At 50.1% G+C, this 26,162-nt stretch overlaps 1 protein-coding gene across 18 annotated transcripts in view, besides 6 other annotated features; it reads left to right on the top strand.

Moving 5' to 3' along the window:
* SULF2 (sulfatase 2) overlaps positions 1–26,162 on the top strand; it is a 129,222-nt gene that overhangs the window by 82,078 nt on the left and 20,982 nt on the right. For all 18 annotated transcript variants that reach the window (XM_047440296.1, XM_047440295.1, NM_198596.3 and 15 more), the window contains exons 4-8: positions 1,880–2,031; positions 14,255–14,424; positions 19,969–20,119; positions 21,381–21,556; positions 25,746–25,874. In XM_047440296.1, coding sequence (XP_047296252.1) covers positions 1,880–2,031; positions 14,255–14,424; positions 19,969–20,119; positions 21,381–21,556; positions 25,746–25,874 — 778 coding nt within the window. The remainder of the gene's footprint in view (positions 1–1,879; positions 2,032–14,254; positions 14,425–19,968; positions 20,120–21,380; positions 21,557–25,745; positions 25,875–26,162) is intronic.
* Positions 2,777–2,836: an enhancer, noted in NCBI's record as "active region_18005". NCBI's record gives its function as "activates an Ori minimal core promoter by ATAC-STARR-seq in GM12878 lymphoblastoid cells {active_cell/tissue: GM12878}" and the evidence as "EXISTENCE:reporter gene assay evidence [ECO:0000049][PMID:35858748]".
* Positions 6,584–7,088: an enhancer, noted in NCBI's record as "H3K27ac-H3K4me1 hESC enhancer chr20:46326206-46326710 (GRCh37/hg19 assembly coordinates)". NCBI's record gives its function as "activates a minimal SCP1, AML or CMV promoter by ChIP-STARR-seq in primed H9 embryonic stem cells {active_cell/tissue: H9 hESC(primed)}" and the evidence as "EXISTENCE:reporter gene assay evidence [ECO:0000049][PMID:30033119]".
* Positions 15,480–16,031: an enhancer, noted in NCBI's record as "H3K27ac-H3K4me1 hESC enhancer chr20:46317263-46317814 (GRCh37/hg19 assembly coordinates)". NCBI's record gives its function as "activates a minimal SCP1, AML or CMV promoter by ChIP-STARR-seq in primed H9 embryonic stem cells {active_cell/tissue: H9 hESC(primed)}" and the evidence as "EXISTENCE:reporter gene assay evidence [ECO:0000049][PMID:30033119]".
* Positions 15,731–15,900: an enhancer, noted in NCBI's record as "experimental_60491 CRE fragment used in MPRA reporter constructs". NCBI's record gives its function as "activates a minimal promoter by MPRAs in K562 erythroleukemia cells, with activity observed for both the introgressed and non-introgressed 20:46317479 variant alleles {active_cell/tissue: K562}" and the evidence as "EXISTENCE:reporter gene assay evidence [ECO:0000049][PMID:34662402]".
* Positions 16,032–16,582: an enhancer, noted in NCBI's record as "H3K27ac-H3K4me1 hESC enhancer chr20:46316712-46317262 (GRCh37/hg19 assembly coordinates)". NCBI's record gives its function as "activates a minimal SCP1, AML or CMV promoter by ChIP-STARR-seq in naive H9 embryonic stem cells {active_cell/tissue: H9 hESC(naive)}" and the evidence as "EXISTENCE:reporter gene assay evidence [ECO:0000049][PMID:30033119]".
* Positions 25,263–25,763: an enhancer, noted in NCBI's record as "H3K4me1 hESC enhancer chr20:46307531-46308031 (GRCh37/hg19 assembly coordinates)". NCBI's record gives its function as "activates a minimal SCP1, AML or CMV promoter by ChIP-STARR-seq in naive H9 embryonic stem cells {active_cell/tissue: H9 hESC(naive)}" and the evidence as "EXISTENCE:reporter gene assay evidence [ECO:0000049][PMID:30033119]".

The raw sequence follows: 26,162 nt of genomic DNA, 5'->3' as shown, positions 1-26,162 counted from the left end.
TGTCATCTCAGCACCTTGGGAGGCTGAGGCAGGCAGATCGCTTGAGCTCAGGAGTTCAAGAACAGCCTGTGCAGCATGGCGAGACCCCTTCTCTACAAAAACTACAAAAATAAGCCAGGCATGGTGGCATGCGCCTGTAGTCCCAGCTACTCGGGAGGATGAGGTGGGAGGATCACTTGAGCCTGGGAGGTTGAGGCTGCAGTGAGCCGTGATGGTGCCACTACACTCCAGCCTGGGTGGCAGAGTGTGACGTGTCTCAAAGAAAAAAAAAATGTACATGCAAAATAAAAACAGAAGAGGATCATGAAGAGGTCTTGTCTGTCTCCTTATCACAGAGCTTTTAGGCACATCCCCTTCCTGATGAATTAGGGTGATTTTCTTTAAGCTTTGTTGTTGATGTAAAGCGTGCATGTGGAAAAGTGCATGGCTCCCAAATCTCCAGGCCAATGAGGTGTCACCAACTGAACCACCTGCTCCAGCAAGAAATAGAACAAGATCATCACCCGAGAAACTCCCCTTGCTGCTCCCAGCCACCCTCCCCCAGTCTCCAGGATACCCACTGTTTTTATTCTAACATCATAGATTAGTTTGGCCTGTTCTCAAATTTCACATAGATGACGTCATATGGCATGTATTCTTTTGTATCTGGTTTATCTCTCTTAACATTCTTAGGTTGTTGAGATGCATCCCTGTTCTTGAATGTAGCACTAGGTCTTTCGTTCAAGTTTCAATGTAGCCTTCCGTTCTGTAAATATGCAACAATTTCTTTACCCATCCTTTTGTTGATAAACATTTCATTTGTTTCTACCTATTTACTATTACAAATGTGCTGTCATGTCTTGTACCTGAGTTTAGGTGAGTGTATGAATACTTTTCTGTTGGGTAAATACCCAAGATTTAAATTGTTGGGTAGAAGTTACCAATGCATTCAAATTTAGCAGACACAGCCAAAGAGTTCCCCACCGTGGTTGGACCGGTTGGGGCAGCCACTCAGTGTGTGAGGGCTCAAGTTGTCCCACATCCCCACCCATACTAGGTGTTGCCCATTTCTTTAATGTTAGCCATTCTGGTTGCTGTATAGCAGACAGAATCCAAGGGATCCACAAACTTCAATGGGAAAAAAAGTGACACTCTGGTTTTCACTAACCTACAGCTGAGACTTAGCATTTGCTTCCAATATGAGCATAAGCCATAAACCACAGTATGTTGGCAGAATCTGTAGCTTTGTCATCTGTAGAAATCACCAGTATTTAATATCCCATTGCAGTTTTTGCAGATACTGCAAAATATAATATTTTCACTCATAACTATTCTGAAATGATCGCTCTCTACAAGGTTTTAAAAGACACAGTAGGCCAGGTATGGTGGCTCACGCCTGTAATCCCAACACTTTGGTCAGGAGTTCAAGACCAGCCCGGCCAACATGGTGAAACCCTGTCTCTACTAAAAATACAAAAAATTAGCCAGGCATGGTGGCAGACGCCTGTAATCCCAGCTGAGGATTACTCGGGAGGCTGAGGCAGGAGAATTGCTTGAAACCTGGGAGGCAGAGGTTGCAATGAGCCAAGATCGTACCATTGCACTCCAGCCTGGGTAACAGAGCAAGACTCCATCTCAAAAATAAAAAATAAAAGACACACTGTATCGCAAATGTGTTTAGTATTTTGATAACCGTATTTCCAAACAATTGATTTTCTCTGTAATCCTATATCTTGTATTCAATGCACGTAATAACATTGGAGAAGGGATCCATTGCTCTGTGTGCCAGAGGGCTCCATGGCAGAGCAGGTGTGCATGCTCAGGCCTCGGACACACAATAGTTTAATAAACATCGTCAGGCACTTTCTCACGTGGCCTCCTGATCCATCTCCCTCCGCAGCTTTCTTCGGGAAGTATCTTAATGAATACAACGGCTCCTACGTGCCACCCGGCTGGAAGGAGTGGGTCGGACTCCTTAAAAACTCCCGCTTTTATAACTACACGCTGTGTCGGAACGGGGTGAAAGAGAAGCACGGCTCCGACTACTCCAAGGTAAGCTGCAACCTTTCCAGCCTGGGAGTGGCTGTGTGGCCCAGCAGTTAGAGGCCCAACTCAGGAGCCAGACTACTTGGGTTCAGATTGTGACTCAGGCACTTAAAAGTGTGACCTTGAGCATTTTACATACACCTCCTCCTCAGTTTTTCATCTCTCAGCCAGGGACAGTGGCTCACGCCTGTAATCCCAGCACTTTGGGAGGCTAAGGCAGGTGAATCACTTGAGTCCAGGAGTTCAAGACCAGCCTGGGCAACATGACGAGACCCTGTCTGTACGAAAAAAATACAAAACTTAGCCGGGTGTGGTGGCACATGCCTGTGGACCCAGCTACTAGAGAGGCTGAAATGGGAGGATTGCTTAAGCCCGGGAGTTTGAGGCTGCAGTGAGCCAGGATCTTCCCACTGCTCTTCGGCCTAGGTGACGGAGCAAGACTCTGTCTTTAAAAAAGAAAAGAAAAATGTATTCATTTCTCAAAAAATAGTGTCTGTTTCCAAGAGTTTGGTTTTTTAACATTTTGCCGAGACAGAATATTCTTACAGAAAGTACATACACAGAGTGTACCATTCAAAGGCTTGCCGCACACTGAACGGACATGTGTAATGAGCACCCGGGTAGGCCAAGAAGAGAATGTCACCACCGCCCGCAGCAGTCCCCTCACGGAATTCCCCCGACTCGACACCCCTCCCGCGAGGATAACGATGATTCAGACTCTTAGCGTTACAGATTCACTCTGCATCTGGCTTCTCCTGCTTAGTATTATGTTGAGTTCATTCTTGCTGCCCAGCATTCCATCATGCGCTTATACCACAATTTGTTTATTTCTTCTACTTTTATTGGGCATTTAGGTATTTCCAGTTTGGGGTTATTACAAATAGCGCTGCTGAGCACTGTCTAGAACCTAGCTCCTGGTGAGCATAGAGGCTCATTTCTGTTATACCCGTTCCTCACAGCAGCGTTGCTGAGCACAGGGCGTGTGCATGTTCGGAGTGAGTGGGTGCTGCCTGAGCACCTGCAGCAGTGGTTGATCCTCAGTCGTAGTTTTTTCTGTTTTTAACATAAGATGAATTGACATGAGGTAACATGCACAGATCTTAAGTGGACCGCTGGATGAATTTTCACATACGTGTGCATCTGTTTCACCGCGCATCTCTTCCACATATGCGTGCATCCATTTCACCGCGGCTCCGATCAAGACATAGAGCACTTCCAGAAGACTCCCTGAGACCCCTCTCCAGTCATGACCCCCCACCCTGGGGATGACGTCTACTCTGACTTCTGACAGCGTGGATTATTTTTGCCTATTCTAGAACTTCACCTAAATGGAATCGTATAGTCTGTTCTCTTCTGCATCTGCCTTTTTTCACCCAGCGCAATGTCTGTGAGATCTGTATTATTTATTCATTCAACAACTCATGGACATTTTGGTTGTCTCCAGTTTGGGTCTATTATAAACTAAGCTGCCGTGAACATCTTTGTCCATGGCTTTTAGTGGACATATGCACCCATTTCTTTTGGTTATACACCCAAAGAAGGATTGCTGGGACATAGGATGTGTTAAGATGTTGCGCCCGGCCAGGCGCAGTGGCTCACACCTGTAATCCCAGTACTTTGGGAGACTGAGGCGGGTGGATCACTTTAGGTCAGGAGTTCGAGGCCAGCCTGGCCAACATGGTGAAACCCCGTCTCCACTAAGAATACAAAAATTAGCCCTGCGTGGTGGCGGGCGCCTGTAATCCCAGTTACTCGGGAGGCTGAGGCAGGAGAATGGTGTGAACCCGGGAGGCAGAGGTTGCAGTGAGCCGAGATCACATCACTGCTCTCCAGCCTGGGAGACAGAGCGAGACTCCATCTCAAAAAAGAAAAAAAAAAAAAAAAAAAGATGTTGCACCAGTTTACACTCCAGCCGGAAATGGGAGTTGCCCTGCATCCCTTATCAGCACTTGGTGTTGTCTTTTTTGTCAGGGCTGCTTTGTTGGGCATGTAGCGGTGTTTCATTATGGTTTTACCACAAAGGTTTTTGAGGATCACGTGAGTTAGTACATGTAGAACATTAGAAGCGCCCCTTGCACGTAGTAAATACTCAGTATGTAGTAGCTTAGATCAGGGCAACAAATATTTTCTGTAAAGGGCCAGATACTAAATATTTTAGGCTTTACAAGGCTTACAGTCCTGTTACCACTGCAGAAGTCTGCCGTTATAGTGTGAAAGCAGCCATAGATAATATACAAACAAGCATGGCCATGCTCTAAGGAAGCTTTGTTTACAAAAACAGGCAGTCGACCTGCTTGGCTGTAGTTTGCTGACCCCTGGCTTAGATGATGAGGAGGAGAAGGAGGAGAGGCTGACAGTGATGTTTCATCCAGATGTCCCATTTTAAAAGAAATATGGAAATGAACAAATCTTCCTGCCCCATCTGAATCCTCAGAGTCAGCTCTGACATCCCCCCACAGCTGGTACATTCTTTCCCCAGACCAGCTGCCAAATCCATCCCTCTTTCTCTTTTCCCATCCCCACTGCCACCAGTCCTGGGCCCTGCCTACTGTGACTTCCCAGGTTAAAGTCACTAGAGAACAGGCAGTCACTGAAAGAGGGTAGCAAGCCAGGAGTGTGTGGACAATAGGGAGTGGTGGAGACGGTGGAGAAGGTGTCTGTCCAAAAGGGGCAGATCAGGCCCAGGTAGAACTGTGGGCCCAGATGGCCACTTTTCCTGATTTTTCAACAGAAGCCACAAATTTGTATTTTTTACCTATGAAATCTCCTGATTGGTAAATATTGGCAACTAATTCAGACTTTTCTAAAATCTTGCATCAATTGAGCATGCCTGACCCATGGGCCTGCAGCCCTTCAGCCCACCATGTCGTTCTTCTGCCAGCACCCTCCGGGGACTGTACGGTGAGTTTCACATTTGGAGTCAGTGGGATCAAGTTGAGAGCCCCAACCTTGACACATATTACGTGACCTTGGACATGCTACGTACTCCTAAGAGCCTCAACTCCCAAATCTGAAAAACAAGCATACCCTTGCATACTTAATCATGTGTACTTCCATTTACTGAGCACCTACTGTGTACCCCTGAGCACCTACTATGTAGTGCTCAGGGGTACACAGTAGTACTTCTGATAACATGTAGTACTTCTGATATTCACAACAATCATATGAGGGGAGTGGACTAGTCACATTTGGTTCCATTATTCATTCACCACCCCCAACAAGTATTCATTGAGAGCCTGCTGTGTACCAGGTACCATGCCAAGTGCTGGCTATTCCAAGGTGAATGAAAACAGATGACCCAATCATGGTCCTCCTGGAGCTCACAGTCTGGCACATGAAGATATGATATAAACTGTTAAGTGATGTGCACACATCATTAATGCACACACACACAGTCACATCACACCCGTCTATTTTGTCATCCCCAGTATGAGCCATTTCAACCTCCAAGCTTGCTAGTTATTACAGTCATCTCAGTTTTGTTTTGTTTTTTGAGACAGAGTTTTGTGCTTGTTGCCCAGACTGGAGTGCAATGGTATGATCTTGGCTTACCACAACCTCTGTCTCCTGGGTTCATGTGATTCTCCTGCCTCAGCCTCCTGAGTAGCTGGGATTACAGGCATGCACCACCACGCCCAGCTAATTTTGTATTTTTAGTAGAGATGGGGTTTCTCCGTGTTGGTCAGGCTGGTCTCGAACTCCCAATCTCAGGTGATCCACCCACCTCAGCCTCCCAAAGTGCTGGGATTACAGGTGTGAGCCATGGCACCCAGCCACTATAGGGTAATTTTTTTTAATCAGACTAGGCTCTTGAAGTTGTTTGTGAACAGAAATTTAACTCCCAGTGGCTTAATCAAAGAGGAAATATATTCACCTATTTAACTGAAAACCAGCTATAGGGGTATCAGGCATGGGTGGATCCAGGAGTTCAAATGAACCCCCAAGGAGTTGATTTCTCTCTACTGTCAGCTCTGTTTTTGTCTGCTCGACTGTATTCACAGAAGCTCTCTCTCCTCCTGGTAGCAGTGCGGCCTTCCTTATATCCTCCCAGCTTCCTGGCCAGCTGCAAGCATGGGAGTCTCTTTCCCAGGAGTCCCAGAGAGTCTCAGTGCATCTCATTGGCTCTGGATCAGTCCCATGTCTGTCCCTGAGCCAATCAGAGTGGCCAGGAGGATGCCTGGTTCCCTGGACTATAAGTCACATGCTCCACTCCTGAGCCAGACATGGGGGTAGCAGGAGCTCTACGCTGGAACGTTGGCTGGGAATAGAGCCCCAAATAAGAATGGAGTTTCCACCAGGAGAAGGCTGACTAGGTGCTCAACGGCCAAAAAACACTCTGTCCCACTTCTGTTCTGGAAACCCCGGCACACATGGAGATCCCTCTGCCTCCGACAGGTCATCCTGGGCTCCCTGTAAGTCTGATGGGTCCAGGCCCAAGTGGCAGAAGCCGCCCCCGGCCTGCCCTCAAGTCTCATTCTGCACATAGTAGGCCTCCAGCCTCCCAAGTGAATTAATTCCAAAGTTCTGATGAGGCAGTCCGGCATGGACTCCTTGGAATATAAATTCCAGTCCCAGGGCTAAGCACGCTGTTTCCCTCCTCCCAGCCTCAGTGCAGGCGGATTCTCTAAATATCCTGAAAAATACATTCCCTCCTTTTTAAAATTCTTCACCACATCCACGCCTCATCTCAGAGCAGCCCGATAATCAAGTTATCCCGGGGTGCTCAGGATTCTTTTGGGGCTAAGCATGGGGACATAGAACGTCCGTCCTTTTGCCCTGTTTCCTGCCCACACACATCTCCCCCTGTGAATGAGAACAGCCCTGTGAGGGAGGCGTGAGAGGATTCCTGGCCCCCCAGTTACCAGGGGCCTGGGAACAGAGATGCTCTAACAGGGACGTGGGCAGAGGGCGGGGCGGTGAAGTCAGAACTGGCTCAGGTCCAGGGTTCAAATCCTGAGGGTAGCAGTGGGCAGCAGGAGCCCAAGCGTCAAGGGAACAGGGGTGAGCCCGGGGTTTCCAGCCAAGGCAGAGCTCAGGAGCCCTGTGCCCTGGGCCCTAGATCAGGCAGTAAGATGCCTCTGGCAAGGCAGAATGTCACTGCTGGCCTCGGGCGGGCCTTGTTGGGAGGCCCAGGCAGGGAGGAAGCGGCAACCCTTCGTAAGCCCCCCTCAGAAGGCCTCTGAGGACTCTGTCCCAAGTCACTAATCCACAGATGGGCACATGCCACCAAAGGGGTCCAGATGTCAAGGGCAGAAAGAGAGGCAGTGGTGATGAGAAAAGAGTGATACAGGACAAGCGCTAATGGCAGAAGAGGGTTGGAGAGGGGAAGACAGTTGTTAGTGGGAAGGGAAGTGAGAATGACCTAGAGTTGAGTCCACCCGAAAAGAGGCTTCCAGGTAGCTGGCAAAAGTGGGCCTGGGTGTTGGGTGGCTCTGCAGGGAGGTGATGGCAGTGCACGGCCAGTGTGGGGGCGACCTGGCAGATTCTATGAACTTCATGTGCCCCGCCCCTTGCCGCAGCGTGTACACTTCTCTGTCTATCTGGAGAAGCCTCAGTCATAGGCAGGAGACGGCGTGATGGAGCAGCTGGTTGTAGCTCTGTTTATTACTGAAAGAAATTAGCAAAGTCCACCAATACACGAAATAACTAAATGACCGTGAAGCATCCCTCCTCTGGAAGATCCTCGGCAAAGGATGAGGCCGGTCTGCCTTATGTCCTGAGCCCATCAGGCAGAGTGGGAAAAGCAAGTTCCAGAACTCCTGAGGTCCTTATTCAAATGTCACCTCACTTTAGCCTTCCTGGACCACCTTGTATAAGGGCACCCCCACCACACTCCTTACTGCAACAAATCACCATCTGGTGCATTACACCCTGTGTATATTACTGATTCATTTGTTAAGTATCTGTCTCTTCTCATAAGAATATAAGCCCCATGAAGGCAGGAATGCTCATTTGTTTTGTTCACTGCTGTATTTGTCAGATAGATAAATGAATATGTACAGTATGATGTGATTAATAATATAAAAAGATGCATAAAGTGATACTATAATGTACCTAACAAAACACTGGAAAGGTTATTCCCAGTAGGGGACAGAAGAGCCAAGGTTATGGGGGTGGGGGGGTGGTAAGGAGTAATCTAATCAAATGAGACTTCACTGTCCTTTGTACTATTTTAATTTTCACAAAGAAAATGTAGGCATATGGTTCTTGAGGAATAATGACTAACACTCATTTAGACATACCATGTACCAGATACTGTTTGAATCATTTTACACAAATTAACCCATGCATTTCTCATCATAGTCTGTGAGGTATATACTGTGTCTATTCCCAACTGTCAGATGAGAAAACTGAGGCCCAGAGAGGCTAAGTAATGTAACCGGGCCACATAGCCTAGTAAGTGATAAAGCAGAATTCGAACCCAGGCCATCTGGCTTCAAAGTCCATGCACTAAACCACAGCCCGTGGGCCCAGACTGGTGGTTTTTGTATGGCCCCTGAGCTAAGAATGGTTTTTACATTTTCAACTAATTGAAGAAACAATCAAAAGAAGAGCATTTTTCACATGGTATATACAAAAATGAATGTCATTCAGCCTTTAAAAAGGAAATCCGGCCAGGCGCAGTGGTTCATGCCTGTAATCCCAGCACTTTGGGAGGCCAAACCAGGCGGATCACTTGAGGCCAGGAGTTCGAGACCAGCCTGGCCAACATGGGGAAACCCCATCTCTACTAAAAATACAAAAATTAGCTGGACATGGTGGCACATGCCTGTAGTCCAGCTACTTGGGAGGCTGAGGCAGGAGAATCGCTTGAACCCAGGAGGCAGAGGCTGCAGTGAGCCCAGGTAGCACCACTGCACTCCAGCCTGGCCGACAGAGCGAGACTCTGTCTCAAAATAATAAAATAAGGAAATCCTATCATATGCAGCAACATGGATGAACCTTGAGAACATTATGCTAAGTGAAATAAACCAGACACAGAAGGACAAATACTGCATGATTCCCTTACATGAGGCATCTAAATTAGTCAGACAATAGCAGCAAAAAGGAGAATGGTGGTTGGCAGGGCTGAGGGGAGGGGGAACTGGGGAGTTCCTGTTCAAGATGTATGAGGTTTCAGTTATGCAAGATGAAACAGTTCCAGAGATCTGCTGTACAACATGGTGCTTAGAGTTAACAGTACTCTACTTCACAGATAAAACTTTGTTAAAAAGCATACAGCTCATTTTTTTTTTACCACAATAAAGCTTTTAAGAGTAATTTTCATGACATGTGAAAAATACATGAAATTAAAACTGCATCCATACATAAAGCTTTACTGGAGCACGGACATGCCCATTCATTTTCCTGATAGCTGCTTTCAAGCTGCAATGGCAGTAATGAGTAGTTGCAACAGAGACAGGGGGCCTGCAGAGTCTAAAATATTTACTGTCTGGCCCTTTACAGGAACGGTTTGTGCATACTTGCTCTAAACCACTATGTATGCTTCTCATTAATAATGTTATCTGTGGCGGGGAGAAAAAGATGGACCTGACCCAAAAATACAAAGGCCTTGGCTCCAGCTCTGGATGCATGGCTTATTTGTTTGGGGACCTCACTTCCTTATCTGTAAAATGGGTATAATGTCCACTTGTCAAAGTTGCTGTGACGATCAGCTGAGCTAAGGTATTTGATAACATGAAGAGCCTATGATCATTCATTACGAGTTGTCTGGAGCCTGTGGAGCTGCTGCCACCCACACGCACTGCCTTGGCCTTGGAGGGAAGCCCGGTGCGGAGTGCCCACTCGAGGGAAACACGCTTTTGCCTAGGGCTGAGGCTGGCAGTCTCCGCAGACACTAGCTACTCAGTCGGTGAAGCTTGTGGATGCCTGCAGGAATCACCTGAGGCTCAGAGGGTGCTTGCCAGAGGGGGCCGGTTGCACCTCGGGGTCCCAGCTGTGGCTTCTCAGCCCTGTGGAGCTGTGCAGGCCAGCAGCACCTGGGTAGAGCCTGACTCCTGGGCGCCGGGTTCTGGAAAATGCACCTGGGCCTGTGGACCTCCACCCATCTCACCCTCCTGCTCACAGGTCTGAATTTCAGAGTTCTTCCTCATGGCTTGACCCGGGCACCCCAAACACAGTTTGCCCATCTCTGAACTCAGCCTTTCCCCCGGCCCAGGCCTTCTCTACCCTTCCCTCAACTGCCCAAACCAGAGACCAACAGGGGTGGGGGTCACCCGCCCCTCCCGCACCCCACATCCACCCAGTGGCTGTCCTGGCTGCCCCTGAGCATCGCTGGATGCTGCCCCCGCCACCCTGGCCCAGGCCTCCTGTTCTCTCCCTCAGAGAGAACAGGGCATGGCTGAAGCCCTGTGGCCGGAGGGATGGGTGGCTCTTGTTGGCTGGCCTGGCACTAACTGCCCACTGGTGGAGCAGGGTGGCAGCTTTGGAGGCAGGTGTGTCATGTGGCATTGCGGAGCTAGCAGAGATCGGGGAAGACTTAGCCGAGGAGTGGCCACTGAGGAGGATGGATAAGGAGGGGAGCTCTCAGACATGGAGAAATCTGCCCAGCCACCAAGACAGTCCTGATTCTTAGCTGAATGGTGGCAGAGAGCTGGCTGTGCACAGGACACTATGGCAAGAGCTTCACATCTATTGGTGCTTTAACCTGCCTGTCAGCCTCAAGAGGCAGGTACTGTAATCACCCCCCACACACTTTGAAACATTAGACTGTGGGAGCCCCTGACCCACCCTCCTGGGTCTCATTCCTGCCCCGGCCTGAGCCCTCCCCTGGAGGTAGCCAGTATCCTGGAGCTTCTACCCACACATACCTTTATTCTTTCATCCCATAGGTGGATATCTCAAACAATGTACGATGCTGTGTTTGTGTCCTTAGACTTTTTATAAATGATATCATATCATACACATCCTTCCACAACCTGCTTTTCTCACCCGATATAACATTGTAAGATTTATCCACGTTTGATCCGTGTTCATCCACGTAGCTCTGTTCTTTTTCACTGCTTTAGAATCCCATTGTATATCTTCTCCTAGGAATGGAGGTTAATGGTAGCTTTATTTTTAAAAAAGTTTAACCACGGCCAAACAGGCATATAGTTCTAAGATGAAGTAGTGAAGATGAGTCTGTTATGAAGAGCAACGGTGGCTTCCCACCCCACCCCACTGGCGGGTGGCAGCAAGTGTCCACCACTGGCGGTTCCATCTCATTCTCATGCCATTTCCTGACTTGACCCCTTCAGGCCCTGACTGTTGATGTCAGGGTACAGAGCTTTGCACCATTTTTAGATCCATTGTAAATTACCTTTGTCATTTTAAGAACTTTTCTAATACCTTTATATCACGTTCCAAAACTATAGCAGCAGCTCTTTGATTTATATAACATATATTATTTTTATGTAATAAATTCTGTAGAGCCCCCTTATAAAATTGTTTTTACTCCCCAAAATTAATCCATAAATAATATTCAAGGAGCAATATATAAAGAAGCAAGTAACTTTCTCCGCTTCTCTCCTCTTCCCAGTCTTCAATCAGCATTTTGATATCCTTCCAGATTTTTCCTTGATGCTCAAAAATATATGAGGTTAGAGTTTGGTTTCTCCTCTTCACCTTCCCTTCCCTCTGCCCCCACAAAAAATAGAATGTTTCTGAGTTTGACTCTGTTGCTTGCTCTTACCCTTAACCATGTATCTTGGACAACTTTACACATGCCTTTTTAATGTCTGCACAGCATTGCATAGTATGGAAGCAATGCCACCAGGTGTGTTGGCTCATGCCTTAATACCTACACTTTGGGAGGCTGAGGCAGGAGGATTGCTTGAGACCAGGAGTTGAAGATCAGCCTGGGCGGCCACTTGCTAGCTGTATCTACTTGGGCTAACCACTGTTAGATACTCAAGACTCTGTCTGTAGAGACCCTGTCTCTACAAAATAAGAATAAAAATGAAAAATTAGCTGGGTGTGGTGGCACATGCCTATAGTCCTAGCTACTTAGAAGGCTGAGGCAGGAGGATCACTTGAGCTGAGGACCTCAGGGTTACACTGAGCTATGATTGTGCCACTGCACCCCAGCCTGACAGAGCAAGACCTTGTCTCTAATATGTATGTGTGTGTATAATATATATACATGCATACTGTTAAACATATATCCTCCTGCTGGTCACTGCAATGTTTTTGTTTTATAAACAATATTGCAGTGGCCATTCTTGTGCATATGGATATAGTGGATGAGTGTACCTGAAAGAGTGTCTGTAGATATATGAATACATCATGGTATGTATATATGTTGTATACTTCAGGGTGGAAGCTGTAGACACCTCTTCACCTTTTTTTCTTGAAAATAATCACTTTTTGAAAGTAATTGTTTTGGGCAGAGCTGCTTTCTAGCAGAGGGTATATTTCAAGAAGTCATTACCTTGAAGAAAGATTAGCAGCTAAATATTTACTAAATTCAGGAAGAGTTGTATGGGTGCTGTGGCTCACGCCTGTAATCCCAGCACTTTGGGAGGCCAAGGTGGGAGGATCACTTGAGCCTGGGAGATGGAGGCTGCAGTGAGCCATGATTTCACCACTGCACTCCAGTCTAGGCAATGGAGCAAGACCATTGCTCCATTTTTTGCTCCATGACCAAAAAAAAATTAAAGAGTATAGGCAAACCTCAACTTCTTAGCTGAGCTTTTAAAGCCTCCAGTTCTGGCCATTTACTTTTCCTCCAACTCTTCTCTCCTCTTGCCCAATATGTAAGTCAGTTCCTTATTTTCCTGGAGACATTACTGCATCCCCATCCCTTTTTTGTGTGTGTGCTGCTCCTTATATCATTTCTGCATTTTACCCTCTGACATTTTATCCTCTTTCCAAGGAGCCAGTTGCCATCTGCCCTCTCTTCTATTTTTAGAGCACATGGCAAGCACATTCCTGCCTCAGACCCCGTTATCTCTGCCTGGAACTCTTTCCTGGATCAGTGATTCTCAATCCTGAGTACCCATTAGAATCCCCTGGGGAGTTTTTTAAAAGTCTGATACCTGGGCCAAACCGCAGGCCAATCCAACCAGAATCTCTGGGGGTGGGCCCAGGTATCAGTAAGCTCTCCAGGGGATTCTGGCAAAATCCAGTGATACATATCTTCCTATGCCCAGCTCCTTCTCATCATTCAGGTCTCAACTCAAATGTCACCTCCTCAGAGAGGACCTCCCTGACTGCCCCAGCTAAAATATGCCCCTCACCTCAGCTCCCAGTTACTCTTTGTTACATCTCTCTGTTTTATGATATTTCCTTCATCTGTCATAACTTTTAACTACCTTGGTTCTTTATTTATACATGTGTCTGCTCCTGCCCCAGTGTAGGCACCCCAGGGACTTAGGGATATACCCACCCTGCATGACAGTGTCCCCAGAGCCTTGAAAAAACTTCAGACTTAGGAGCCAAGACTATGTAGTGCTGGGTCCAACATTTACTAGCTGTGTGCCATTGGGCAATTTACTTAGCTTCTCTGTGCCTTAATTTCCTGTTCTGGAAAATAAGGATTATCATCATACGTACTTTCTATAGTTATGTCAGAATTAAGCGAGCAAATACAGGTAAACACAGAACAGTCCTTGGCACATCGTAAGCACTCAATAGTGTTAGCTATTATTCTTTTAATATCTTTTTTTTTTTTTTTGAGTCAGAGTCTTGCTTTGTCACCCAGGCTGGAGTGCAATCATGCAGTCGTGGCTCACTGCAGCCTCCACCTCCTGTGTTCAAGCGATTCTCCTGCCTCAGCCTTCTGAGTAGCTGGGCTACAGGTGTTTACCACCACGCCTGGCTAATTTTTGTATTTTTAGTAGAGATGGTGTTTCACCGTGTTGGCCAGGCTGGTCTCAAACTGACCTCAGGTGATCTGCTCACCTCAGCCTCCCAAAGTGCTGGGATCACAGGTGTGAGCCATCCCACCCAGCCTATTTTAATATCTATCTAAAGTGATCTATTGCAATTCCTGCCCTGTTCTCCCTATCCACTTCTCTGCTTTATGTCCAATTAGCTTAGCACCATTTGCATCATTTGTCTGGCATTTCATTTATTTTACTTGCTTATTTCTTGTCTGTCTGCTCCCTAGACTGTCAGCTCCAGAAGGGCAGAAATTGTTTTGTTCACTATTGTGTCCCCAGTGCCTAGCAGGGTGCCTGGCACGTAGTGGACACCAGTATGAATACCTGGCTCCTCACCTGTTCTCCTGTCTCTCCCCACCCCCCAGGATTACCTCACAGACCTCATCACCAATGACAGCGTGAGCTTCTTCCGCACGTCCAAGAAGATGTACCCGCACAGGCCAGTCCTCATGGTCATCAGCCATGCAGCCCCCCACGGCCCTGAGGATTCAGCCCCACAATATTCACGCCTCTTCCCAAACGCATCTCAGCACATGTAAGCCTCAGCACTCTGCCTGCCAGAGGCACTGCTTAGCATGAAGGGGGAGGGTCAGGCTTTAGCAACAGTACTGTCACCACCATGACTTCACTGTGCCTCCTCTCTAATCCTCCTGGTTTAAAGACCCCAAGAACATACTGCTTGTCCATGGTGAAACTGGGATGCAACTCCAGACAGCCTGGGCAACAGACCAAGGCAGGAGAATTTTTAACTTGGGATACACGGCCTCCCACCAAGAGGTGTGTGGATGGAACTGCATAGAATAGGTTTCCTTTTAATGCCATGTGTATTTTATTTAAGACATCTAAAAACATTCTTTTGAGGAGGGGGTCTATAGTTTTACCAGACTAATTATTTGCCACCATTTATTGAGCTGTGGGCTATGTAGCAGGTGCTGTGCTAAGCCCTTGGCATTATTGTCCAGTCCCTGAATATTCACAGTGACCCTTGGTGTACCAGTTATCTATTGCCATGTAACAAATCATCCCAGAATCTAGCAACTTAAAACAACAAACACAAATTATCTCACGGTGTCTGTGAGTCAGGAATCTGGGAGTGGCTGTTCTGAGCTTCTGGCCCAGGGTCTCCTGAGGTTGCAATCAAGGTGTCAGCTGGGGCTGCAGTCACCTGAGGCTTGACTGGGGCTCAGTCCCATGGCTGGGTCTTGCCACAGGAGCCTCTGTCCATAGGGTGTTTGAGTGTCCTCACAGCATGATAGCTGGCCTCACCCAGAGCAAATGATCAGAGAGAGAGTAAGGCCAAGAAGGAAGCCACAGTGTCTTTTACAACCTAATCTCGGAAGTGGCACCATCACTGTGCCACATTCTATTGGTCACACAGACCGGTCCTTCTACAATGTGGAGGGTCTACGCAGGGGTGTGAAGGCCAGGAAGTAGAGATTATCAAGGGCCATCTTGGAGGCTGCCTGTCACACTTGGTATTCCCATTTTACAGATGAAGAAACTGAGGCACAGAGAGGTAAGGTAACTTACCTGAGGTCACCCAGCTCTAAGTGGCAGAGCCAGGATTCAAGTCCAGCCCCCCACTTCTGCTTCCCATGCCTCTGCCCACCCCTGTAGTACTCTATCCAGCTGGCTGGGAAACTTCCTGGAAAGTTCTCCTGCTTCTCTCTGCCTCAGACCACCCCCTGCTTAGCAGTGACTCAGCAGCCCTTACTGTGACATTCTGGGGCTGCAAGGATGGGGTGGTTTGGAATCTGCCTGAATATTCAGGGTGTTTGGCTTCATTACAATCTGAATACATTGCCCTCCTCAAGCCCCTCCTGTAATTACTTTTTGACAGACCTCGAAGCAGCTCAGAGAGGGTACCGAAGGCACTGTTCACCTTCCCATCCCCTGATCTCTGGGGAGGAGGCTTTGACAGAAGACGATGAGCTGCGTCCCAGGGGCTGCAGCATTGCTGCTGTGCACATCTGTCTGGCTCCCCCTCCAAACCCAAGCCCACTCCTCTCCACCCAAGAAGGCCAGCCTCCCCCAGCAGCCGGCACCCCGCCCTACCGCCACTTAGAACTCATCCCTGCAGCGGGTGGAGGCCACTCAGCCCTGTCTAAGGGAGAAGCCGTGGGTGAGGGAAGGGACGCTTTGCTTCGGCAGCATCTCTAAAAGAGGTGCCGGCTTCACCCCAAACAGCAGCGAGCGGTGCCGGAATTTCATGATGAAATTGTTTGGCATTGCCTGCTGGTTTATTTTCCCTTTGAAATGAAAATTACAGAAATTGAAAATGAGCAGTGTCTGCTCTTATGTGGAGAAGCCCCCTTTGCCTTCTTAGGGGCATGTTTGGAAGGCTGTCTCATCTCTGGAGTATAATCATTTCCGAAAGAAACCAAAAAAGAGAAAGTCCTGCAGCTAGGATGTTAAATGATGACAGTCAAGAAGGGGTGGAGAGGGGACAGAGCCGGGGCGCACGGTTAGAGCACTGGATCTTTCTGTTAGGGGTCTCCTATCCCATCTCTCCCCTAGAAAGCCGGCACATGCCCTTTCCTGGGGCAGGCCTTGTGTACTCTGGCAAAAGTTGGTAGATGGTGGTACCATCCACCCCGCAGACCCCAGGGCCCTGCACCCTCCCCATGCACCCCCCCACACACACAGTCACATACATACAGACACACACAAAGACATGCAAATACACACAGGCACACAAAGACATACCACACAAGCAGATACACACAATGAAACACACACAAGCCTGGGCAACTTAGTGAGACTCTGTCTCTACAGAAAATTTAAAATCAGCCAGGGGTGGTGGTGCACACCTGTAGTCCCAGTTACTGGAAAGGCTGAAGCAGAAGGATCACTTGGGCCCAAGAGGTCGAGGCTGCAGTGAGCTATGATTGCGCCACTACACTCCAGCCTGAGTGACAGAGTGAGACCCTGTCTCGAAAAAAAAAAACACACACATGCAGACACACAAAAATACACAGTTACAGACACACACAAAGACATACACACACGCAAACAAAGACATAGGCAGAGATACAAAGATACACACAGGCGTGCCCACAGACACAGCCCACCAGCCCTCAGAGCTTCCCTTCAAAGGGCGCTGATTGTGGCTTCAAGGGCTTTGGGGCGAGGGATGTTGGGGCTGCTGCTGATGGCCCCAGACACACAGTGGAGGGGCTGTGAGGACACCACCATCTTCCCGCCATTTCCCCAGCAGAAGGGAAGGGGGATGGTCTTCTTCACGCCCTTTTGTGAACGCACCAGATATTCCTCGGATGCTGGAGGAGGTGAAGTTTTCAGATGTTTGTTGAACAGGCAGCTGGGCCCATGGGAAGATGCCGACATCCTCCCTGGGGGAGCCTGGCTTGACACAGGCAACCAGCAAGCTGGCGTCGACCCCAAGCACCACCCGGCTCTGCTGCCTTCTGGCCTCAGTGTCCTTCTCCAAAAGCGCTCTCTCCGAGCCGGGGCTGCAGAAATCATCATCCTCTGAACAGTCACCCCTCACTGTTCTCGAGGGCCGATGTCAGCCTAACTTCTCATGGATTCAGGGATGATTGCTGAAAATTGCATCCTGGAATCCGGGCCCTTGGGCCTGCGGGACCAATTTTCCCACACGCTCGCTGCTCTGAGAGCGTCTCTGTCCGACTGCTGCCCCCAGCAGCCCCCTTTCAGTTCCTCGGTGGGAGAGATCTGAGAGGGGAGCTGAGCTTGTTCCTGGGAATGTTCTACATGGCGGGTCAGGCCCTGAGACAGCAGAGCCAGCCCACAGGAGAGCCTGGCCGTTCTGTAATGAAAGGAAGCATGGGCCCTGATGGATTCAGTGGCATGAGGCTGCAGATCAGCCAGGGGCTGAGAAAGCCGAGTCCAGGGGAGCCTTGGAGACAGTGACTCACCTCCCGCCTTACATAGCAACGGTGTCCACAGCTGCCAAGCTACCCCAGCGGCAGCGTCACAATTTCTGCCCCGGACGATTGTGATATCTGAGACGCTGCTGAAGTCCCGACGTACCAGGCCAGAGGGAGACATGTCTGTGCCCCTCTGACCAGGCTTGTTTTTCCTCCTCTTCTTCGCGGGAGCTCCTTGCCCCCAGAACACCCACTGTGAAAAGCAGTGGAAACTCACCCTTTACTTCAGCCTTGACTGGGAAGAGAGGCCAGATTTGCAGGGAACCTGGCCTTCAAGAACCATCAGGCCCAGGGCGAGGAAGCCCACGTTTTGTGAGGCCTTAAACAGTGCCTCCTGTCAATGGTGCACCCCACCCAGGAGACTCCCCCATGCTGCGGTTTTCAGTAGCTCGGAGCCAGGGGCCCGGCATAAACTGAGGTGACAAGGAGGTGCTCTTGGTTTGCTCACAATGTTTCCTCTGGTTTTGGTTTAATCTCCCATTGACTAACCAGGAAATAGAGAGGATCAGAGAAGTTTGGGGACCTGCCCGCTGTCTCACGGAGTGAGTGACAGACCCAGTGTACCTGACTTCTGCCGTGGAGTCACCCGTGATTACTAATGACAAAGGGACACACCAATGATAACCTCTCCCAAGCAGTCATCACGCACTGGCCATGGTTAGAAGGGTTCCCCTTACAGCCTCTCCCTCAGTGCTCACAACCTTCCTGGGAACTGGCACTGTCTGTATTCTCCTTGGGTAGGAAATGAGGGAACTGATGCCTTGGGAGGGGACTAACTGGCCAAAGACAGAACTGGGGCTCGAACCCCAGCAGCTGGTATAGTCAACCACTGCCATGATATCATCATAGATACCTGCTTGGGGTCCCTCCATCCCTCACATCACAGGTGCTCAGACAGAACTTTGCCCAACACACTCCTGCTGCACGATTAAGCAGCATGCCAGGTGCAGTGGCTCATGCTTGTAATGCCAAAACTTTGGGAGGCCAAGGTGGGTGGATCACCTGAGGTCAGGAGTTCAAGACCAGCCTGGCCAACATGGCAAAACCCCATCTCTACTAAAACTACAAGAATTAGCCAGGTGTGTTGACACAAGCCCGTAGTCCCAGCTACTAAAGAGGCTGAGGCAGGAGAATCACTTGAACCCAGGAGGCAAAGGCTGCAGTGAGCTGAGATCCCACCACTGCACTCCAGCCTGGACCACAGCAAGACTCCATCTCAAAACAAAGAGGCCAGGTGCAGTGGCTCATGCCTGTAATCCCAACACTTTGGGAGGCCAAGGTGGGCAGATGACGAGGTCAGGAGATCGAGACCATCCTGGCTAACATGGTGAAACCCCATTTCTACTAAAAATACAAAAAAATTAGCCAGGTGTGGTGGCACGCGCCTGTAGTCCCAGCTACTTGGGAGGCTGAGGCGGGAGAATCACTCATACTGGGAGGTGGAGGTTGCAGTGAGCTGAGATTGCGCCCCTGCACTCCAGCCTGAGCGACAGAGCGAGACTGTCTCAAAAAATAAAAAAGAATGTGGCATGTCCCAAATGTGCACATTCAGGTGCCTTCCTCACAATTCTGGCCTTACACATAAAACTATGACTTATTTCATTTTTAAATCCATTTCTATTATTTCAAACTAAAATCTATTGCAAAAGGATATTCCGTGGTCCTACCTTAACCACAATAACTGCCACCTGCCATTCACCAAAGGTAACTGCCATCTACCAATAATAGGTACAAGGCACACAAAGCAATGCTATGGAATTTGAGTTGGGTACTGGTTCCCGATGAAGGCTCTGAACTTGACTTTCTTCCCTTTTTTCAAAAGGAAGACGAGCAAAGTCTAGAGAGGTGTTAAAGAAACACTAGCACCAAACAGACTTTGCCCTGAGAGAGCCGACAAGGGACTGGCTGTCTCACTTTGTCACTCAAGGTCACTGAATGCTGTGCCTCTTAGGAGCTTCCCAAGTGCACACTTCACACGTGGAGAAACGCTGAAACAGGGTTTGGATAAGCCCCTGACATGCCAATGTCCCCTTTCCCACCAGGAGATCACACCTGGCCCTGGGCTGCAGACACAGCACAGGGTGGCTGCTCATCCGGGCGGGTCTGGCGGGGGCCAGGCAGGGTCCAGGCTGTCCCTGGGTTTGACCGATGTGTATGTCCTTGCCCACCAGCACGCCGAGCTACAACTACGCGCCCAACCCGGACAAACACTGGATCATGCGCTACACGGGGCCCATGAAGCCCATCCACATGGAATTCACCAACATGCTCCAGCGGAAGCGCTTGCAGACCCTCATGTCGGTGGACGACTCCATGGAGACGGTAGGCGCCCGCTGCATGCCTCTTGGTGGGCGTGGCTCCGAACCCCCAGCCAGGCCAGGGCCGAGACCTCCTGGCCCTTCAGGGTTTTCCTGGAGGAATAGAAATCAAAGGCAGAATGAAGAGGCCCCATGTGCTAGACCTGGGGAACAGCTTGGAGCAATCCAGACAAAAGCCTCTTCCTTCATGAAACATTTTCTAGATCTGTGTTGCCCAATACGGTAACCATATATGCTAGTTATATTTTTTCCTGCTATTTACATTTTTGAACACATTTATTGGGATGTAATTCACATACCATACAATTCCCCCAATTAAAGTGTGCAATTCTGTGGTTTTAATATGCCCAGAGTTGTATAACCATCACCACATCCATGTTAGGACATTTTTCTTACCCCAAAGAGAAACCTCACAGCCCTTAGATGGCCCACTAAATCTCCCTCACCCCCAGCCCCAGACAACTGGTGATCTCTTTCTGTCTCTATAGATTTGGTGTTCTGCACACTTCCTATAAATGGAATCGTACACGCTGTGGCCTTCTGTGCCCAGCGCCTTTCTTTCACTTAGCGCCACGTGTTCAAGCTTCACCCCTGGTGTCGCATGAATCAGTCCCCCTCATTCCCTGTTATTGCTGAATAATATCGCATTGTATGGGTATTGTCACATTTTATTTAGCCATGGCTATTTAAACTGAATGCAGTAACATTATAAAGTCAGTTCTTCTGTCACACAAGCCTCATTTCACATGCTCAGTAGGTTCGTGTGGCTGGAGCCAATATGTGTCCATATCGGACAGTGCAGACATTAACACGGCCACCAATGCAGAAAGTTCTGCCACACGGCGCCCTTCCAGATCGCAAGATCCTGCCATAGGCTGCAGCCCAAGTTTCACTCATTCATTCATTCACCTGACAGCATTATTGAGTGCCAGTGTACGTGGGATACAGCAGGCAGGGAACAAAATGACAAAAGTGTCTGCCCTAATGGAGGCAGCATGCCAAGGCAGGGACACAGATGATCCACAGATAAGTAAAAGAGATGGATGCCAAGAAGGGCCATGAAGAACCGTGGAGGGGAGGGCGGGCCAGGGGTGACAAGAGGCAGGAAGGTGCAGTGACAAAGGGGACAGCCCCTGGGAAAGTTGAGCAAAGACCTGAAGCAGGGGAGGGACGGGGCCTGAGATCTCAAGCGCCTGTCACCCCGGGTCGGAGACGGGCCAGGCACCCAGTCCCCACTGTCCCTTGCCTCCTCGCCCGTGTTGCAGATTTACAACATGCTGGTTGAGACGGGCGAGCTGGACAACACGTACATCGTATACACCGCCGACCACGGTTACCACATCGGCCAGTTTGGCCTGGTGAAAGGGAAATCCATGCCATATGAGTTTGACATCAGGGTCCCGTTCTACGTGAGGGGCCCCAACGTGGAAGCCGGCTGTCTGTAAGTGTGTCATCCCCCAGGGACCCAGGGAGGCCCCTGGGCCCAGCTCAGGGCTTCAACCATGCAGCCCAAACCCAAGCCCACCCTGGGTGGCACACAGTTTTCGCAGATGTACCCCAGGGCCAGCGGAAAGCAATTATGTCATGCATGTTATATCCCTCTGCTGGGGAAGGAGAGGCCGGGAGCTGTTAGCACCTGTGGAAACAGGTGTGGTGGGGCCGTATGCCAGGAAATCCAGGGAGCTGGGCTGTATACGTGTGTGCGCGCACATGCATGTCACCAGCGGGTGGGAATGGTGCTTGGATTTCTGTTCTGGGCTGGGCAGTCTTTGAGCCTGGAGGTTGTCAGGGAGGAACCCCGGACCACAGCACAGGCAGCTGGTTGTCAGCTGGGATCAGCTGAGCCAACTCTGGGCAGCAGCACAAAGGGAAATGCTCTTCCCTCCCATCCTTCCTGGAGGACCACGTGGGCCGCAGCCCTCAGCCAGCCATTCTCCTCGGGCTAACCTTTGAGTTGACATGTTCTGGCAGCGAACATGCTGCGTCTGGGGCAGGGGAGCGGACAGGCCACTGTTCCCGGCAGCAGCTTCCTTGGATCGGCTGGGATATTATGGAGGCTGGCTCAAATGAGGTTTTTGAAAAGCAGATGTGTTGCTATTAAGACTGTCATTTGGTCTGCCTTCTGCTCATGCCCAGATGTGGGAACACACACCCAGCACTCACACAGGGCTGGCTGCGGAATTCCTCCTGAAAAGGCGTTGACAGTGCAGTGTGGAATTCCAGACTGACATGTTCCCACTGCCTTGGACATTTTGCGAGAATTCCAGGAGGCAGGCTGCATGAGTTCAAGGCCAGAGAAAGTGATGACTGACTGTTGACCTTATCAGATCACGCCCGTCTTTGGCTCTTAGCGTCCCCATTGGACTAAGAGCTGTAATAACGACAGTCCACACGTATGGAGTGTCTACTCTTCAGGGCCTGGTCTAAGAACTACATAATAATTCATTGCAAGCCGGGCCCTGTGGCTCATGCCTGTAATCCCAGCACTTTGGGAGGCCCAGGTGGGCAGATCATTTGAGGTCAGGAGTTCAAGACCAGCCTGGCCAACATGGTGAAACCCTGCCTCTACTAAAAATACAAAGATTAGCTGGACATGGTGGCGTACACCTGTAATCCCAGCACTCAGGAGGCTGAGGCAGGAGAATCGCTTGAACCTGGGAGGTGGAGGTTGCAGTGAGCCGAGATCATGCCACTGCACTCGTCTGGGCGACACAGTGAGACTCCATCTCAAAAACAATTAATAATTCGTTTCAGCATCACAACTGCCCTGTGACGTGGATGCTCATAGTAGCCCCATTTTACACCCAAGGCCACTGAGGCACGGAGAGGTTAAGTTGCCTGAGTTTACAGCAAGTAAGGGAAGGGGCTGGGGCTTGAAACCAGGCAGTCTCTATTCCCATCTGCCACGCCTCTCAGAAACTTCAAACCATCCCTGTGAACAGAAAGAATCTGACCCACTGAGGGCTCTACAAACACTGACATTGGGGGTTTGGTCAGCCTCGGAATCTGTGATCTGACTCATAGGGCCCAAAACCACATCCCACATGGTCAAGAAAAAGAGAGTGCTCATGTCAGGTTTGGGACCAAAGACACACGGTATCTGTCAGCCAGGACTCCTTTGGTTGCAAGCAGAAATGACCTTTGAACCAGATAAGGCATGTAAGATAAAAGGAACACAGTAACTATAGTTACTGAAAAGTCCATGCACAGCTCCAGCCTCAGGCATGGCTGGATCCAGCAGTCTTACAATGCCATTGGAAAGCTCTCATTTCTTATCTCTCAGTCCCACTTCCGCCGAATTGGCTTCATTCTCAGGTGGGTTTTTCTCCTTGTGGCAGGGTCAGCAGCTCCAGATTTTCAGCCATCCTGTTTAGGAAGCCAAACTGCTTTGAACAGAAGACCTGAGGCTGACTCCCACTGGCCTGACTTAGGTCACGTGTCCTTCCCTGAACCATTCACTGTAGCCAGAGGTGACAGAAACCCTTGAGTAACCAGGCTGAGTACATTGGGCAGGGGACTCTGAATGGGGCCAGGTAGTTCCTACAGAATTAGAAGCTGTGACACAGAGCAAGGCATTGGTGCTGGCCAGGAAAAGCAACCACTGTCCTCCTTCCCCTGAGCCTGGGGGAGCGGGACCACTGGACAAGCTCAGCCCCATTAGCTGCCGGTTGCTGGGTTCTGCAGAGCGCCCGTCGCTCAGCAGTCTTCCCAGCTCCCTCGCCTCTGGATTCAGTTGTAGCGCCTCACGCTGGCCTTCGAGCCCCCCATGACACAGCCCCATCTTCAGCAGCTGCACACATGCTTGGCAGCCTGCCCGACGTTCACAGGGCACTGGACTGGGGAGAGATGAGGGGTTAAAGATGACGGAAACCCTAGGACCCAGGCCCTGCCCTGGTCCCCAGGGAACTAGCGGGGAAGGCACTCAGATGCTCTGACGGGACTGTCCACCATTCAACAGGTCCTGGGTCCTGTGCTGGGCACACCCCTTAAGTCCCTTACCCTACATTGGGAATGCCATCAGCCAGAAACAAGAGCCAGGAGAGGTGGCTCATGCCTGTAATCCCAGCACTTTGGGAGGCTGAGGCGGATGTATCACCTGAGGTCAGGAGTTCAAGAGTAGCCTGGCCAACATGGTGAAACCCCACCTCTACTAAAAGTACAAAAATTATGGGTGTGATGGCGCATGCCTGTAATCCCAGCTACTCGGGAGGCTGAGGCATGAGAATCGCTTGAACCCAGGAGGTGGAGGTTGCAGTGAGCCAGGATCATGCCACCACACTGCATCCTGGGTGACAGAGCAAGACACCTCTCAAAAAAAGAAACAGGAGCCAGGAAAGGTGGCAGATGTATGGGAATTCACTTAGCCAATATTTACTGAGTAGCTCCTCTGTGTTCTAAGGGTATAAGTCCTGGAGATACAGAAGTGACCACCTGAGCCAGCCTTCCTGCAGCTTAGAGTCTAACTGGGCAATAGACAATAAGCCAGAGAAATAAGTAAATTATATAGCATATGAGATGGTGATAAGTCTTCAGGAGAAAGATAAAGCAGGGAGGGTGGGGAGGGGGCGCAGTTCCGAATAGGGTCCTCAGGAGGGGCCTTGTGTTGGGTATCTGTGCTGCAGAACAAACTGCCACAAACTCAGCAGCTTAAGACAACACACATGTACAAACTCACAGTGTCTGAGGGTCAGAAGCCTGGGCCTAGCCCTGCAGGGTCGTCTGCTTAGGCTGAAATCAAGGTGCCGGCCAGGGCTGTGGTCTCATCCAGAGGCTTGACTGGGGAGCATCTGCGTCCCTGCTCATGGGGCAGGTCAAGTGCAAGCAGAGGACTTGAACCCATGCAGTCTGCCTCCCAGACTGCTCACAGTCTAGCTGCTGATTTAGAGTGGCTTGCTTCTTCAAAGCCAGCAAGGGGAGAAAGAAACCAGAGCCAGACTGCTAGCAGGATAGTAGTTGACTATCTCATAACACAACCACGGGAGTGACAGCCCATCACCTTCACAACCCACTGGTTGGCAGCAGGTGCAGGTTGGTCCACACCCAAGGTGAGGGGGTCACATTAAGGTGTGATCACCAGGGACAGGGATTCTGGGGACCACTGAGGCCTGTCACGGGCCTCCTTGGTCATAGAGCAAAGAACTAAAGGGGTGAGGGACGGTGGCCCCTGATCTCCAGGGAAAGGACATTCCAGGCAGAGAGGATGGTAAAGAAGAAGGCCCTGAGGCTGCACTGTGCCTGGGCTGTCAAGGAACAGCGAGGAGCCAGTGTCTGCCCCAGAGGTTCAGGGGAAGGGTTCAGGAAGGGCCAGGATTTGGGCTGGCTGTAAAGGGGGGGTCGCCTTCACTCAGGAAGTGGGGACAGGAAGGGCAGGAGGGGGACAGGGTGAGGCTGTCAGCTCACGGCATGAGCTGAGACACAGAAACTAAGGGGGGGCGAGCACAGAGTGGGGGTTCAGCTGAATCTGGGCCGCAGAGGGGAGCTGCTGAGGTTGAGGTGCCAGACTGCAGCTTCCATACCTGCAGATGTCAGCCTCCCACAAACTGCTGCCCACCTACCGCTCCCCACCCCCCACGCGAGGCTGAGGCACCACCACCTGAGTGACTGAGTCCCCGATCTCCTGCCTCCCCCAGGAATCCCCACATCGTCCTCAACATTGACCTGGCCCCCACCATCCTGGACATTGCAGGCCTGGACATACCTGCGGATATGGACGGGAAATCCATCCTCAAGCTGCTGGACACGGAGCGGCCGGTGAATCGGTGAGGACGGAGCAGGGCAGGTGTTGAGGGGGCCGGGACATTGACCTGCGGGAACTCAGAGCAAAACCCTGTGGGTCTAGAACGTGGGGTCTCCAAGGGTCGGGAGCTGGGGTTCTCAGGTCCCGCCATGCCAACCACTTACCTGCTGTGGGAGAGAAGCATGGTCCCCTCTCCGAGATTCTGTCTTCCCATCTGGAATGTGGCCAAGGTGACCAGTTGGGGACCTTCTCTGAGCTAAAATTACCCAAAGCTTGAAATGATAGCAGCAGTGATGGTAGGAGATGGTGC

Source organism: Homo sapiens, chromosome 20 (genome assembly GCF_000001405.40).
Source record: "Homo sapiens chromosome 20, GRCh38.p14 Primary Assembly".
Taxonomy (NCBI): Eukaryota; Metazoa; Chordata; class Mammalia; order Primates; family Hominidae; genus Homo; species Homo sapiens.
The sequence above is the reverse complement of the archived record's forward strand: the minus strand, read 5'-3'. Positions and strand labels throughout refer to the sequence as shown.